Raw genomic sequence first — 16295 nt, forward strand, 5'->3', positions numbered from 1 at the left:
CCTTGCCAGCATCTGTTATTTTCTGTCTTTTTGATAGTAGCCATTTTAACTGAGGTAAGATGATCTCATTGTGGTTTTGATTTGCATTTCCCTGATGATTAGTGATGTTGAGCATTTTTTCATATAGAGGTTGGCCATTTGTATGTTTTCTTTTGAGAAATAACTACAGATCTTTTGCTTATTTATAATTGGATTATAAAGGGTTTGTTTTTGCTATTCAATTATTTGAGTTTCTATATTCTGGCTATTAATCCATCAGAGAGATAGTTTGCAAATATTTTCTCCCATTCCATAGGTTGTCTCTTTACTTTGTTGATTGTTTTCTTTGCTGTGCAGAAGCTTTCACTTGCTACAATCGCATTTGTTAATTTTTTCTTTTCAAACCCACAGCTAATACAATACTAAATTAAAAAGAAAAATTGAAGGCTTTTCTCATAAGATCTAGAACAAGAAAAGGATGATTATTTTTATCACTTTTATGCAACATAGTACTAGAAGTCCCATCTGGAGCAATTAGATAAGAGAAATAAATAAAAGCTATCCAATTTGAAAAGGAAAAAAGGCAAATTGCCCTTGTTTGCAGATGACATTATCTAATATTCAGAAAAACTTAAGACTCCACCAAAGAACTGTTGTAACTCAAAAGCAAATTTAGTAAAGTTGCAGGATAGAAAATCAACATACAAAAATCAGTAGCAGTAGCATTTCTATATACCAACAGCAAACAATCTGAAAAAAAAAAAAAAAATCAAGGAAGCAATTTTATACCTAAGTATAAAAATAAAATACGTAGGAAAAAATATAGCTAAAGAAGTGAAGATTTCTACAATGAAAACTATAAAACATTTACAAAATAAATTGAAGAGGACACAAAGAAAATGGAAAAGTATTTCATGTTTATGAATAAGAAGAATTAATATTGTTAAAATGTTCACACTTTTAAATGATAAACAGATTCAATGCAGCCTCTATCAAAATATCAATGACAGAAATAGAAAAAACAATCTTAAATCTCATTTGGAGCCAGAAGACCCTGGATAGTCAATACAATCCTGAATGACAAGAACAAAGCTGGAGGCATCACTGTACCTGACTTCAAAATATACTGCAAAACTATAGTAATCAAAACAGCATGGTACTGGCATAAAAACAGATACCAATGGAACAAAATATAGAGATCCCTGGAATAAACCCATGCATTTACAGGCAATTCATTTTTGACAAAGGAGCCACAAACATACACTGGGGGAAAGGACAACCTCTTCAATAAAGGGTGATAGGAAAACTGAATATCCATATGCAGACGAATGAAACTAGAATTATTGAAACTCTCTCACCATATAAAAATCAACTCAAAAAGAATGAAAGACTTAAATGTAAGACCTGAAACTATAAAATGACTAGAAGAAAACACTGGAGAAATACTCGGGACATTTGTCTGGGCATAGAATTTTTTGAGTAAGACCTCAAAAGCACAGGCAATTATTTTACTCATTTTGGTTCACAATTTCCTGTTTTTTATGATCTCTGAAAATTGCAGCCCTACCTACTAAAAATCTTTTATTAGATTAGAAATTTGTTTTTGTTTGTAGTTGATTTATTGTTGATTATTAGTTGATTATAGTTGATTATTGTTTTTATCTTGATTTTTATGATTGTGATCTATTTTTTATGTTTATTGGGTTTTGGTTTTGCTGTTTGGATGTTGGGCTTTCATTTTCAGGATAGCTCTATCACATATTTCGTAATTTTGTTTTGTAGAATTATCTTATATTGAAGGAATGTTGTTTTGTGCTAATACATTTTCTCTTTCTTTAGAGCATATGTGATGTTTTCGTCCAATGGCCCCTGGATCTGCTATCCACAGTTGTGTTTTATGTCAACTGTTTGAGATTCCTTCTCCATGGACATAATGAGGCTGTTTTGATACCATTACTCAAGGGAGCATATAGCTTGGTTCAGCTTGACTTTTGACTGCAAGGCTGGGTTTGCATATACTGCCTTTTTTGTCAGGTGGCTGTAGCCCTAGACAGCCTCTTATTAACGGGGGATTTCCAGTCTCGCTTATTAACAGGGGATCTCAATCTCCCTCTTAATCCTCAGCAGGGAGCCTGACTGCAGTCTACAGCTTCAGCTTCATGTTGGCTGAACTTTTTCTCTGTTCTTCCCATAGAAGTAGAAAACCTGGATGCCTCTTCCTGTGTGGACTAGGAGCCCAGAAGCCTGTAGCTTCAGCCCATTTTACCTTTTACTTATTCTATTTCTCATCCACAGAGATGTTGCATATTTGAAGCCAGCTATGCATTTGAATGTTCTCTTTGGAACTGTTATCCGTTATCATTGTGAGTTTGGAGCAATGCCACTTGCCTGGATTTCTTCCTTTGTTTCCTACCTGGCAAACCTAATGGTATTCCCTAAACTCCAAATATCTGCACATCATTTCCCTGTTTATAACATTTCATTCTATCCCAATTGAACTTCGAACAAGTGTAAATGCATTACCAGACCTTTGAAGACCTTTAATCACAGGGCCTTTGCTCCTATTTATATGAAGCTGCTTTCAGTTTCCCGAATGCATTGCACTTCCTTCAACCACAAGGCCTTCACATGGGCTCTTTCTCCATCTGATAAACTCTCACTTCTCTGTCTTGTTTGTACTTAGTCTTCCTGATCTTTCTCATCTCCATTTAATGTCACTTCCTTCCCTTTTCTTCACTCCACGGACTTTCCTTCCTCCACTCCCACTTCCCATGTGATAACACTTGTCCCATTTCCTTGTAACCACTTTTTAATCACTCTTTCCTCATAGACTGAAGCTTTTTGTGAATAGAGAACATGTCTTGCTCATTCAATTCTTAATCACTGCACCTAGCATATCATAGACACCCAGTAAATATTACAGAATAAATAAATTAATGAAGAGGCAATTTACTCCTTCATCTTAGTTCTTCCTTGCTGTCCAGACATAGTCCTGACTTGCATGTGACATGGGGGAACAAACTGTTCTATCTGTACCACCAGTTAACTAAGGAGTCCTTCAGGCTCAGCTATGAATTCCATCAGGAAAATTCTGAGCTTTTTGGAGTAATGGAGGGAGAGGTGATGGGATTCTGTTGTGGAACTGAGAGGGTCCAGTGGAAGTGAGTCAGAATGTTCAGTGTTCTGCAACAAAGACTTCCCTTCACTACCCCTTCAAGCATCACACAGACTCTCCAGGTCTGGGGTGGCTTGTGGTCCCATGTGGTTATTACATGCACCTCTACGTACTGAATTTGTTGATCCTTGCAGACTAGCAGTGCAAGAGCTGATCTGAACTCAGGGGCCCTGGAGAAGCAAAGTCACTCCTCCCCATTCTGAAGCAGCTGTGGTTCCTTACATTTGGACACAGGCCTGAGACCTTGGCTACAGTGAGCTAGTGCTGGGGAATCTACTTATTGATCACCGGAGCAGCTGCTAAGCCTGGCTTTCAAGAACATCCCTCAGAGGGTGCTTTCACTGTGCCAAAATCTTTCATTCATTTTCCTCTACCATTTTAACATGCAATTTAGTTAAAACACTTTCCTTTCATGTGTGTGCCAAGATGGTGACTTCATAAAGGTCAGGAAATGAGGAAGCAAGAACTTCCTTGAAAGATTTAAAATAAATTATTTTTAGTAATAATAAATGACAAATTGGGAGATTTAAGACAAAGATTCCTGGTAGTTGAATGCGCTGAAATCTATGATGTTTGGGGATTGTTAACAATCTTCTTCCAGGATTTGATCGGTTTTGTACTTGTATTTTCTCAATCTACTATTCTTTACTTGCTCTCCTTCCTTTAGAATGGACAAATTTTTGTAAACTTTTAAGTTTTCTCTTTCCTTGAGGTAGTAAATTGGAGTTGAGCTACACAGGTTCCTCTTTCCTGATATCCCCTTTCTGCTATTTGATGTGAGATGGCTCTTGAGGCTAAAAGTGCAGTGAGGGAAAGAGAGTCACATTAGCAGAGCTATCCAGAATATCCTCTGGTTATTTTGGAGCCTATTTGTAAAATAAGCAGGGAAGTGTTTGGGGAAGAGTGTTGGCTTAGGTAGGAAAGAAACCCTCCTTGGTCTTTGCCCTGCTGTTTACCAGCCACGCGGCCTTGGGTAAGTCATTCAAGAAATGTAAGCCTACTAACTGTCAAAGCCTCAGTTCCTTTTACTTGTAAATGAGAGAGTTGAATTAAGTCAAAGTAGTCAGTTCAACGGCTTGCAAAGAATAAGGGAATTTAAGAAAGCAGAGAAGTTTCAGGGACCATGGAGAACAAATCGTGTGTAGCTAATATGTAACTCCAGAGGATGGTTACTGTACAAAAAAAGCAGATCAGGCATTGTCAGCACATCTGATTATTTCAAGGGAACCCCAGATCTGGATTTTTATGTGAAATATTCTAATTTCACATATAATTAGCAACTCATTAAGAAAAAAACTAAAAATGTCCTGCTTAGGGCAAAGGAGACATATCTGTGGGCTCATCACTGCCTGTGGACAATCTGTTTGCAACCTTGGGAATAGATGACCTCTGACACCAGATTAATCATCTGCCTTCAAAATTGACTAACTTCACTGGACCCAGTCCCAGGTGGAGAGTCTGAAAGCCTAGAAATTGCTGCAGCAGCATCAACTTCCTGTTGGAAGCTGGGGAGGCAAAGTCTTACCCTGAGAAAGGGCTGGATTTCTCTTAAAATTTTGAAAGGCCAAAGGTGGTGTCAGCATTTTTGTGATATGGCAGGAATAATACTGTGCAGTGGATAGGGAGCTCTGAATTCTTACCTTGGGTGTGCTAAAAACCTAGCCTGGACTTGGTTACATCCCCTCCTTTCTCCGGTGTTCTCTTGGTGGGTTTATAATTTTAGATTAAATCAGTATTTCTCAAACTTCAATGATTGGTGTATTACAGTGTGGTAGCCAGTCTCTGAGATGATTCTTATTCCTTGTTTTTGCTTCCTTGTGAAGTTCCCTCCCATATGGAATAGGAGTGATTTATGCAACTAATTAGAGATTGCAGAAGTGAGTGTGTGACTTCTCAGGATGTGTCATAACAGATATTGCCATTTTCACCTTGATCTCTCAGATCACTTGCTCTGGAAGTACACTAGCTGCTATGTCATGAGGACACTTAAGCAACACTGTGGAGAGGTCCACATGGTAAGGAACAGCCAGCACCAACTCACAGGTGAATGAACCACCTTGGAAGCAGATCCTCCAGCCCCAGTCAAGCCTTCAGATGACTGCTGTTGCAGCTCACATTTTGACTGCAACCTCATGAGGGACTTTGAGCCAGAATCATCCCCAATTCCTAACCTACAAAAACTGAGAGATAAAAACATTTATCACTGCTTAGGCAACCAAGTTTTGCATTATTTTATTATGCAGCAATAGATAACTAATACAAAATCATGATTATTGCTATATTGGCCTACCATTGATAATGTTACACATTAATGCATGTCAATGCATTTAAATGGTTTATTCTTTCAATTTAAATAGATTTATTTTAAGAGGAAAAGTTTTATGTTGTAAATAAAAAATAAGCATCACTAGCCACAAAATAAAAATAACTCAGAATTTAATTTCCTTTTCCTGTGACTCATTTTTTATTTTTATGTTTTAAAATAAATTTTATTGCATGTATTTAAGGTATACAACATGGTGTTATGGAATACATATAGATAGCAAAAAGGTTACTACAGTAAGGTAAATTAACACATCCATCATCTTACACAGTTATCTTTTTTTTGTTTTTGTTTTTGTGTCAAGAGCAGCTAAAATCTACTCATTTAGCATGAATTCCCAATATAGTACAATTTTATTACCTATAGGCCCACGTTGTACGTTAAATCTCTAAAGTTATTTATCCTACATATTTGTTACTTTCTCTCCTTTGACCTACATTTTCCTACTTCTTCCTTTTCTATCTCCTCCTTTGCCCCAGTAACCACTGTTTTGTTCTCTAACTCTGTATATTTGATTGTTTTTAAAAGATTCCACATATAAATGAGATCATGCAATAATTTTCTTTATTTTTCTGTCTATGTCTGGCTTATTTCACTAAGCTTAATGTCCTCCAGACACATTCATGTTGTGGTAAATGGTAAGATCTTGTTCTTTATTGGGCTGAATAATATTCCCTTGTATACATATACCACATTTTTGTATCCATTCATTCATCAATGGACACTTAGGTTGTTTCCATATCTTGGCTATTGTGAATAATGCTGCAATGAACATGGAAGTGCGGATATCTTTATGAGGTGTTGATTTCATTTCCTTTGGGTATATGCCCAGGAGAAAGATTGCATTGCTGGGTCATATGGTAGTTCTATTTTTAATCCCTTTAGAAATATCCATACTGTTTTTCATAATGGCTATCCCAATCTTCTCCAATCTAAATTCCATTTAGATAATGTTGCCTGCAGAAGACTCTGAGCCTAAGGCATCTCATGTCTTTGGAACAAAACTGGGACTTTATCCTTGAATTAAACAAAGTGACTGATACGCAATTGAGCAGGGAATAACTTTCTCACAGTGAAATTTGATGTTAAAATGCCCCCTCTCTCTACACCCCCAAACTGTCTTACAGTCTTCCAAAAAATGTTGGTGTTTTCTTTTCCCCCTTTTGGGAAAATTAGCTAAAGTTTATGTGTTTCTTCACATTCCAAAACATTCTAAGATAGCACATAATCTCTGTGTCAAGTAAGATTGCCTATAATAAAGTCCTGTAAAATAGCTCACCCCAGTTTTTTTGAAGTATTGCTACTAATATAACGCCTTGTGGTTATTTAAAGATGCACAGTTTCCAAAACCCTGCTCTGTTCACTGGGCTTTAGTAGCAACAAAGAGACTAGGTCTGCCTGAGGATTATCATCCTTAAATGTATAGATTAGGAAGTTGAAGCCTGGAGAAGTGAAATTAGATAAGATAATAAGATAATTCATCTAGTAATTAGTAGGGCTGGGGTTAGAACCTGGGTCCTCTGGGTCCTCCATCACTCTGTGTGGCCTGCACAGAATCCAGTCCATGGACTCTTCACATGTGAGGACTCTAGCTGCACATGTGGGGACTCCCAAGCAGGTATAGTATATCAGAGCTTGAAGGAAGGCTGGCATGGCAGGGTCTGGGGTGGTTTGGGGGCCTGATGCACGGTTATCAGAGGAGAATCTTTAAGGAATCTGAGAAGCTGAGAAGATAGCAATGTCAAGCTCGCCAAGCAGCTGCCATGGCAAATGAGATTACAGAAGCAGTCTTCCCTGCATCCCAGAGGCTGCCACAGCTGAGAGTTTAAATTTGCAGCTTCAGAAAGGAAAGCAGACACACAAATGTGCACACGAACACACACACACACACACACACACACACACTCACTCTCTCTCTCTCTCTAATGCCCATGTGATATCAAATGTAGCCTTGACAATGCTCCAGCCCCCACAGAGATGCTAGTCTCTCCCACTTCTCAGTCAACTCCCTGAACCCCATCTCCCTACATGGCTGTAGGATGTTTTTGAATTTCTACTAAAAAATATTTCTGAATCTTTGTGCATCTTGAATTTGTCCAGGACTAAAGAAAGAAAAGTATATTTTGATGTACAGGAATGCATGGAGCTTTGTGGTTCTCTACTCAAGTGGAGTAGTATTTTTATGTATATTGGGTGACAAAACATTCAGATTACATGGAAACCAAACATGTCAAAGCATTTTGGAGAAATAATTTGGTAGCTATTTCCAGATGCAAAAATACTTCTGTTTCTCAGTCAAGTTCTTTGTCCTATTTAAACACAGGCCACTAGAGCTAGTAATTGTCTTTTCTTAGGATATTTTAAAGGTCCTGGAACACAAGACTGGAACCCTGGAAGGATCAGATTGTCTCATTTTACCAGAAGAGAGACTGAGGCACAAGAGGAGACCAAGCATGGCTCCAGGGACGCTAGTGAGTCACCTGCAGATGAGATTATTCAACTGTATAAATGAAATCATGTTTCACCTGCAACGAAAGAAAGCACAAATCACCAGTTTTTACTTCTTTCTCTTCTTTTACTAGTTTTAAATGGCTAAATGGATCACCTCCCTTCCATTCCCCCACTCCATCTCCCTTAAATTTGGAAACCAATTACATTCCAGGGAGGTAGAGATCTGGTGATAAAGGACTCGTTTCAGGTTTCACACTTGAATACATTTTTACAGCTTGCTTATAAAATTCTGAAAGCTGGTCTCCTAGTAGAAGGGAAGATGCTGTCAAATGCTAAATGGTGCAGTTAGAGGGACATTCAGACCTCCTCTCTAGCCCTTCCTCTTTTTCTGGCACCCAAAGGCACGGGCCTTTCCTGTCAGCTGTGCAGGCTCCTCATTACTTTCTAGGATCAGCACATGGATCGGCTCTACGGGGTGTCAGACTCAGTGAGTCAGCAAAGCAAAGCAGCTGGGCTGAGACAGTGAGACAGTGGACAGTCACCCAGAACAGAGGCAGGGCTCATACACCAGCAGCCGGGGAGGAGAAGCTGTGCAGAATCCACATCAGAGACATAGACCCAGGGGCATCATTCTAATAGAGGGCTTCCACTTTTGATATTCTTCTTTGTTGTCTGGTATGATGCTTAATAAGTGGAAGGTTTAAAGGGAAGGTGTGGGGGTGAGTCTATTTATTCCTTGTAATATTTTTCCGCCAATTTGAAATAGACGAATTAGTTCAGACTATGACATTTTGGCTGATGCAACCTTATTTTATTACTTATTTTATTATAGATCAGAGTAAAGGGTTAAGTCATTTAATTCAGGTCAAATTCTAAAAGAAGGATATTACTCAACTCATAAACTATATAGTCTGCATCAAGAGAAATGGCTTTTATCAACAGCAATCAAACTCCCTTATCCAAAATAGTAAAATCTTGAGACTTCCAATTTTAATGTAATATTTTCCATTTTAAATATGGATAATTATTTGTGCTAAGTAGCTAAATATAACCAGAGACATTAATGGACAAATGATAACAACACAAATAATATATTTATAACAGTTAGCATTTTTAAGTACATCATTTACCATATTATAGCCACACTGCAGAGAAATTTATTTTTAATGGATGCTACCTTTGTAGCTCCCCTAATTCTGAAAAGATTTTGTTTAATCTTTTTAGCAACTCTAATTAATTATTATCATCTTCATATACATTTGTTAATTCAACAGATATTCAACAGATATAGCTATTATAGTATAAGAAATTAAAACAAAGTGATGCGAAAGACCAATCTCAGGGGAGTGGAGATCTTTGGTCAGGATATGAAGGGAAGGGCTCTCTTTCTAGATGATGGGTTTCCAGGTACAAAGAGATGTGAAGATGTGAAGATTGTTCCAGGGCAAGCTCCGAGGTGGGCAAAGTGACTGGTGATGGTGGGGAGAGGGACAGGAGGGAGGTTGATGAGGTTAGCAGGGGCTAGGTTATGTAAAGCCATGTGGGTTGCTGTGGGGAATTGAGATGAGAAAACAGAGACATTGAAAGGCATTAAGTCTCGTTTCCAAGGCCACACTGCTAACCGGGAGTGGTGGCAGGTGTCTGTAATCCCAGTTACTTGGGAGGCTGAGGCAGGAGAATTGCTTGAACCCAGGAGGTAGAGGTTGCAGTGAGCCGAGATCGCGCCACTACACTCCAGCCTGGGTGACAAGAGCAGAACTCTATCTCAAAACAAAACAAAACAAACAGAAAAGAACTGAAGCACAGCTAAGCCGGATAAGAATTTATCTCTATCTCTAAGTGTATCTCTCTGTCTTATGTGTATTTCCTGTATCTCAGTTTCTACATCTGTGTATTATCTATCTATCTATCTATCTATCTATCTATCTATCTATCTATCTATCATCTGTCTATCTTTCTATCTCTCTATTATCTATCAGCTACTATGTGCCAGGAATTGTAGGCTGAGGAGATGTGACAATAAACACAATTGCCAGAGTTCCTACTCTCATGGATTTTTAATAAGTGCAATAAAGCAAACTAAAATAGGGAAAAGGGATGTAAAGCAAACTAAAATAGGGAAAAGGGATGTAGAGTAAAAGGGTGCTTTTGTGGATAAGATGCTTTAAACAGAGAATATCTTTGAGTGGAGGCAGGAATCAAGTGTGGAGGCAGACATGCGCTCTGTGTCTGCAGCTAAGATAGCTTTGTAATTAGCATTTTCTAAATACAGGAAAACATGATTGTCTTTATTGGGTAGCGTGAAACATGCCATGACTATCTTGAGGTGTGTGTGTGGGGTGTGTGTGTGTGTGTTGATCAAATCCTTTCCCAGACCAGAAAGAGCAAGAAAAGGTCAGCCTAAGTTGTATAAACAAAGAGGATTTGGAGGCTTCAGGTTAATAAAGTTTTGTGGGGTTTAGAGAGCCATGGAGGCGGTGTTCATAAAAATAGAGAACCCAACCAGACAGAAGTTTGTGTGTGTTTGAGACATGAGTCTTTGGTGTCTACACACCAAAAATCAGTTATACCTGGAGAAATAATTATGACATTTTCAACAGAAAAGTATTTAGGCATGGTTAAGATCTGACCCCCACAAAAGATTGAGGAAAAATTGATGAGTTCAGCAACAGCCAATAAAAAGTCATGGGAAGACTGAATGTTGGAGTTTAGTTACCTTTGGGTCTGAGAAACTGCATTATATTCCCATAAAAGACTGAAGATTAAGCCATATTCCTCTCTCTGTGCATTATATTCCTTCTTTTTTCTTTTTTCCCTAACAGAATTTTAGTTGCTTGAAAAGAATTAACATAGAGCAGAATTTTGAATATGGCTAGGATTAGCTATTGTAGCATAAGGTAAGTGGAAAAGAACCCCTTGTCATGTTGAGTTTTTGGAATGTCTAGACATGAATAAAAATTAAAAGGTATCATTGATTGTTTCTGTTTTAATGAGTATAAAGTGAATTGGGCAATTCACAGGCTAACTCCAACCATTTTGGGCTTCCTGATGACTAGGGCCAAGATATTTCAAAGAGTACTAGGTGATTTATTGGGTCTTATGCAATTATTATTCCAAGAAGAGAGATGTCGTGTCCTTGGCTTATGGGTCTGGAACCTACTCATGCATCTGTCTATCCAGGCTTCTGTCCATGCATCCAAGAGGCTTTTATGGAGCTCTGTGAATGTCACAAAGATGAATCAGGCATGCCCTCTGTTCCCAAAAAGCTCACAGCACAGCCACAGATGAGGAAATAGAGAATTATGTTTTTTAAAGTAGGGTAAGTGTAGGATGGTGGCAAGGGTTAGATGTTTTGGGATTGGGGGTAATGATCCCAAATTGGATTAGAGCACCTGGTAACAGTTTCTCAGAAACGCTGATGATTATGTTCATCCTAGAGAAGAATGTGTGGAGGTTGTGCAGGCACAGAAGGAAGAAAGAGGTTTTCCAGGAAGAGGGAATTGTACAAGCCTGGGCAGAGGCACAAAGGGGTGGAAGAGCAAGATTCACTCAGGGAATTGCAGTAAATTGGCACGACTGGAGTCCAGACTACATGTTTGGTCAGGCAGTGGGGTAGGTATAGAAAAGGAAAGAATGGCCAAGAGTGAGAGACTCAGAGTATTTGGGATAGAGTTATGAGAGGCCTGGGGGACACTATAATGAACTTGGATTTGATGCTAGTAGCTCTGAGGAACCATGTATGTAATTTAAATTGAAGGTGTCTCACTAAGATGATGGAAGTTCCATTGGGCTCCTATGGGGTGAGTAGAATTCTATGGCAATTTTTTGCAATAATTATGGCACAAGAGTGAGGCCAAGAGTAAATGATCTGGAGTGTGAGAAGCCACTTAATTCTTTGTATGTTGGTCCTTAAGGTGTAAGCATCCCTTTCATGGACCTTTTGTAGGTCCAATGAATGACCTCAACATGAAACCTTGCAGATAATTTTGAAAGAAAAGGAAAAAAAACTCTTCAATCATGAAAAGGTCTCCATTATATTTCCAAGCTATGTGAAAATTTTTATTATATATCAATTACTTTGGAAACATGGCCATTGCATGACACTGTTTCTCATTCATGAAGGGAACACTTCTGTTTTGAATCCCCAGCGGTGCCTGGTGTAGTGCCTGAGACAGAGAAGAAGCTTAGTAAATGTTCAAGGTATTGGTTTGCTAATGATCCAAACCAAGCTGTGTTTGGGCCCATTTGAACATTTACCGAACCATGTTGTTAAATATAAGGAATGTCAGTAATAACCACAAAAGTAAGTCAGTAAAGACAATAGAGCAATGTCTTAGTAGTTATCATCTACTGAAGATCTGCTCTTAGCTAGGCATGGTCGCAGGCTCTTTATGCCTCATTTCACTAAATCCTTACCATCCCCACACTGTGTCTGTTTTATTATCCCCCTTTACAGTTGGGAACACTGAGGTTAACTGTGTTTACTCAACAATCTCAGGGTCACACAGATGCAGAGTAGAAAAGCAGGATGTGATCCTAGGACTAAAGGCAGACAAAGTCTATGCCTTTTCTCTCCTATTGCAGTTTCCACATATCAGCAGGTACTTCCTGTGAAAGAGGAAGCACATTTGTTCTCCTGGCTCCAGAGAAGAGAAAGCAGACTGGCAGCTCTCCCATGAGGGAAAGAGGAGAACTTTGACAGGAATTTACGACCACCAGGGAGAACAGAACTAACTTTTCTGTAAGGCTGTGGCCACCTACCCCTGAAGATGAGATGCTGATGTAGAAAATGGACAGCCATCTCTTAGAGGATCTGCAAAATAATTTCTATTCTGGTTAGAAAAATTAAATACATTCACTTTATCTTTATGATCTTGAGATATTCCTTGGATAGTAACAACAGCTCCTGACATCTGGAGACTATTTCATTTTAGACAAAACATTTGCATGGAGAATCTAATATGATCCCATGTGACATTCTTTTTGGGACAAGGTAGCTGTTGCTCAGAGAAGCAGCAGGAATTGTCCAAGGACACACAGGGTGAATGAAAGACTTGGCAGTGGGACCTGGGTCCAATAATTTCAAGACCAGTGCTCCTTCACCTATGCATGTTGTCTACTGGAGTGAAGCAAAAATATGGGTCTATAGGGCAGTATTATGCAGAATGAGTAGTTTCTTTCCATTATTAGCATAAGCCATACTCTGAAGCTATTTCTGAGACAGTCATCCTTTTCTATGTGGGTCAATGTTCCTGCAGCATGGACTTCCTTCTGGGAACAAAGCATCCTTTAGGATCTTCCTTAATCATCCTCATCAGTGTAATATGTTGCTTCCTGTCCAACTGTGCCCCATTTCCATAGGCAATTTATCTGTATCCATAGAGACACCAGAGATCTGCTTCTTACTTCAAATGTTTCATATCTAGGTTATTCTTCCTGACATGTGAGTCCAGGGCACAAGTCTAAAGCTCCCACTTACACAGCCCAGAGGGACTGAGCCCTGCTTTCCACAGTCAGGTCAGGAGCACACTGACTCCTGACTGTGGAAAATTTGTCTGTGTGCTAAGTGTAAACAGATGTCCCCAGCTGCCGGATCCTTTGGCCATATGAAACCAATCACCAACTCTACACAAACATGCATCATCAGGCTAAAATCTGAAGGTGCAATGAACTCACCCTGCTTCCCATAGGACAGTGGGTGAGTAGAGGCTGTGGGGAGTTTGGTCAGAGCAGTCCATCTAAGGGCAAAATTTGTGTGGTTTAATGAGATGAAAGTGGTGAAGCGGGGCCAAAGGAAGTGCAGCTCAGAGTTAGGATAGATACTGGTTCAATATCATCTGGACACTTTCAACCCTGTACACATGGGGGCACTAAGGTTTGGGGGTAGAAGTGACTTCCTCATGATCTCATAGCACTCTAGTGATTCCCTCAGGGTTTAATCACAGATCAGAATGCCCAGGCCAGTACTCATTCCATTATGTAAGGCTGCCTATGACACTGGCTTTCCCTTGAGCTTCTTCATGTGGAGTCCTTGCATCTCTTATGTTTTAAATCCTGGCAGTTTTGGATTGACTTTTCTAAGCCATGTGAACTTTCCTAAAGGATAAAAATGATGATGCCATTGATTGTGGGTTAATATTAGGTTAGCCTAGATGTTCTATGTACTTAATTGCATTAATAGCCCTAACGTACCATGAAGTAGGTCTTCTATTTTAAAGAAGAAGAAGCTGATACTCAGAAATGGAAAGAGGGTTGCCTAAGGACACAGCTTTTAGATGGCACAGCCTGAATTCACATCAAGACAAGTTCCAAAGACATAGTTTAAAGAATCAACGAAGTTATACTGAGGCATCTGATTGACAATATAAGATGGCTGCATGATTAATATTATTTATTCACTTAAAAGAATTTATTGAGCATTTATTATGTGTCTGGCAGTATATGTGGTTTCAAAGTTGAGCATGACATTATTCTATTAAGAAAACAGTGTAGTGGTGGAGTTGGAAATACAAACAAACCCCTCATTTATGTTGAAGCAATTGTTAAATGGATGATTGATCAGGTATAATTGGAATAGAGTAAAAGGAGTGCATCAGTTTGTCTAAAGGGTAAGAGATGGTTTGTCAGAAGAGGTGACACTTTTCTATCAAATAGGTGAGGATGGAATTCAAAGCAGAAGTTGACAGTCTGTTTAGAGAAGTGAAAACAGAACAAATTATGGAATTGTGGAATACTTAGGGAAATACAGGTCATTAGGTATTGTTAATTTGTTAAAATATAAGCAGGGAAGCTAAAAAGATGATATTAAATATACAGGTTACAAGGACCTTATAGGTTTTACTAAGGGAGTTAGAATTGTTCTCTGAGGGCAATTGGAAACCATGGATTGGTTTTAAACAAAAAACGCATGATGGACGTATTGTTTAGGATTGGATTTGATTGTTAGTAATGTGAAACTCTAAATTAATACTGGCCTAAAAACAGTAGGAGTTTGTTTTTCATCTAAAAGTCTGGCGTTACATAGTCGAGGATTAATATGATGGCTGTTTAGGAATTCAATATTTTTTCAACCATCCCCGTATGTGACCTTCAGACTCACATTCTAAACCTATAATCAGGGCAACAAGGTGGAAACAATGGTAAATAAGAAGAGAGTTACACAGAGGTACCAGTGTTCTTTTAAGGAAGGTCCTCAGAAGCTTGCACAAGACACTTCTGCTTTTATCTTATACATCAGAACTTAGTTACATGTCTACACTCAGCTGCATTAAAGGTTGGGAAATACAGTCTTTGCTCTGGATGGTCAAGAGCCCATATAAAAAATCAGGCTTTGTGGTTTTCTGCTAGAACTGAAGGATGGATATTGAGGCAAGTTATCAGTAAGTATTTTCATATTAAAGAGATCACTTTAATAACTCTGTGGAAGATGGACAAAGATATAGGGAAGACACTGAAGATATGAGACTGAGGCTGGTGATAACCATGAGGCTGGGGAATGCTTTCCCTTTCAAATGACCTAGGCTTTGCCCAATTAAGGAAATTACTGTCTTAGAGTTACTTCTTTTCTATTGAGTCAGAGGTAGATATATGTCTCCTTCAGCAAATGAGTCATACCCAAGGTTGGGTAAACTTGTTTAGATATGCAGAGTGAACCACGATATGAACCTGGTTTGGACTGTATCCTTCACAGACTTAAAACTCTGCTCATCATTCTTGTGTCCTCAAATAGCCAGATCAGATTTTTTATTCTGATTTTCTATAGAGCTAAGATAGGTAAGAGGAAGTTTCTATCCATTTCATTCTGGTTAGCTGAGTTAACATGTTTTGTCTGTTAAATATTCATGGAATTAGGATAAGAACATGAGTTTTAGAACCAAGAAAAATGGGAATGAAAAACTCAGCTCTGGTACTAATCCCAGGTTGTCTGGTTTGTGAGTTAGTCCTGATCATCACCACACCATATGGCATCCTCTGGCTCTTGGTTTACTTTTCCCTCTTCCTTAAGCTGTTCATTTTCAAGTAACATGGGGAAAGTCACACCAGTCTTACTGAGTATCCCTAAAAAATGGAGGCAGAAGAATGGACTTGATGATAGAAAAATTTATTCTTGGGCACTAAGCGTGCTCAGCTGGCTATGTCTACCTCCATACCTCCCCTTTAATATTTTTCTCCTGGCCCAACAAGTATGTCCAGGGCCCTATAAAGGAAATAATCCAGCATATGTCTAATGTTGGCTCACCCAGTCCTCATCAGCTTTGAGCCATCTCACTTTGCTTCTAATATTCCTAAAGCCCCTCTTCTTCAGAGTCCCTACTCCTCTATTTTACTCAGTTTCTCTTGATTCTATATCATGGCTTCATTCTTCTC

General features: G+C 38.8%; 1 long non-coding RNA gene across 1 annotated transcript in view, besides 2 other annotated features; it reads left to right on the plus strand.

Moving 5' to 3' along the window:
- DELEC1 (deleted in esophageal cancer 1) overlaps positions 1 to 16295 on the plus strand; it is a 260827-nt gene that overhangs the window by 48014 nt on the left and 196518 nt on the right. The gene's annotated exons all lie outside the window — the stretch shown is intronic.
- Positions 1945 to 2014: a silencer, noted in NCBI's record as "silent region_20218". NCBI's record gives its function as "represses an Ori minimal core promoter by ATAC-STARR-seq in GM12878 lymphoblastoid cells {active_cell/tissue: GM12878}" and the evidence as "EXISTENCE:reporter gene assay evidence [ECO:0000049][PMID:35858748]".
- Positions 3883 to 4402: an enhancer, noted in NCBI's record as "NANOG hESC enhancer chr9:117955993-117956512 (GRCh37/hg19 assembly coordinates)". NCBI's record gives its function as "activates a minimal SCP1, AML or CMV promoter by ChIP-STARR-seq in naive H9 embryonic stem cells {active_cell/tissue: H9 hESC(naive)}" and the evidence as "EXISTENCE:reporter gene assay evidence [ECO:0000049][PMID:30033119]".

This window comes from Homo sapiens, chromosome 9, assembly GCF_000001405.40.
Source record: "Homo sapiens chromosome 9, GRCh38.p14 Primary Assembly".
Lineage (NCBI taxonomy): Eukaryota > Metazoa > Chordata > Mammalia > Primates > Hominidae > Homo > Homo sapiens.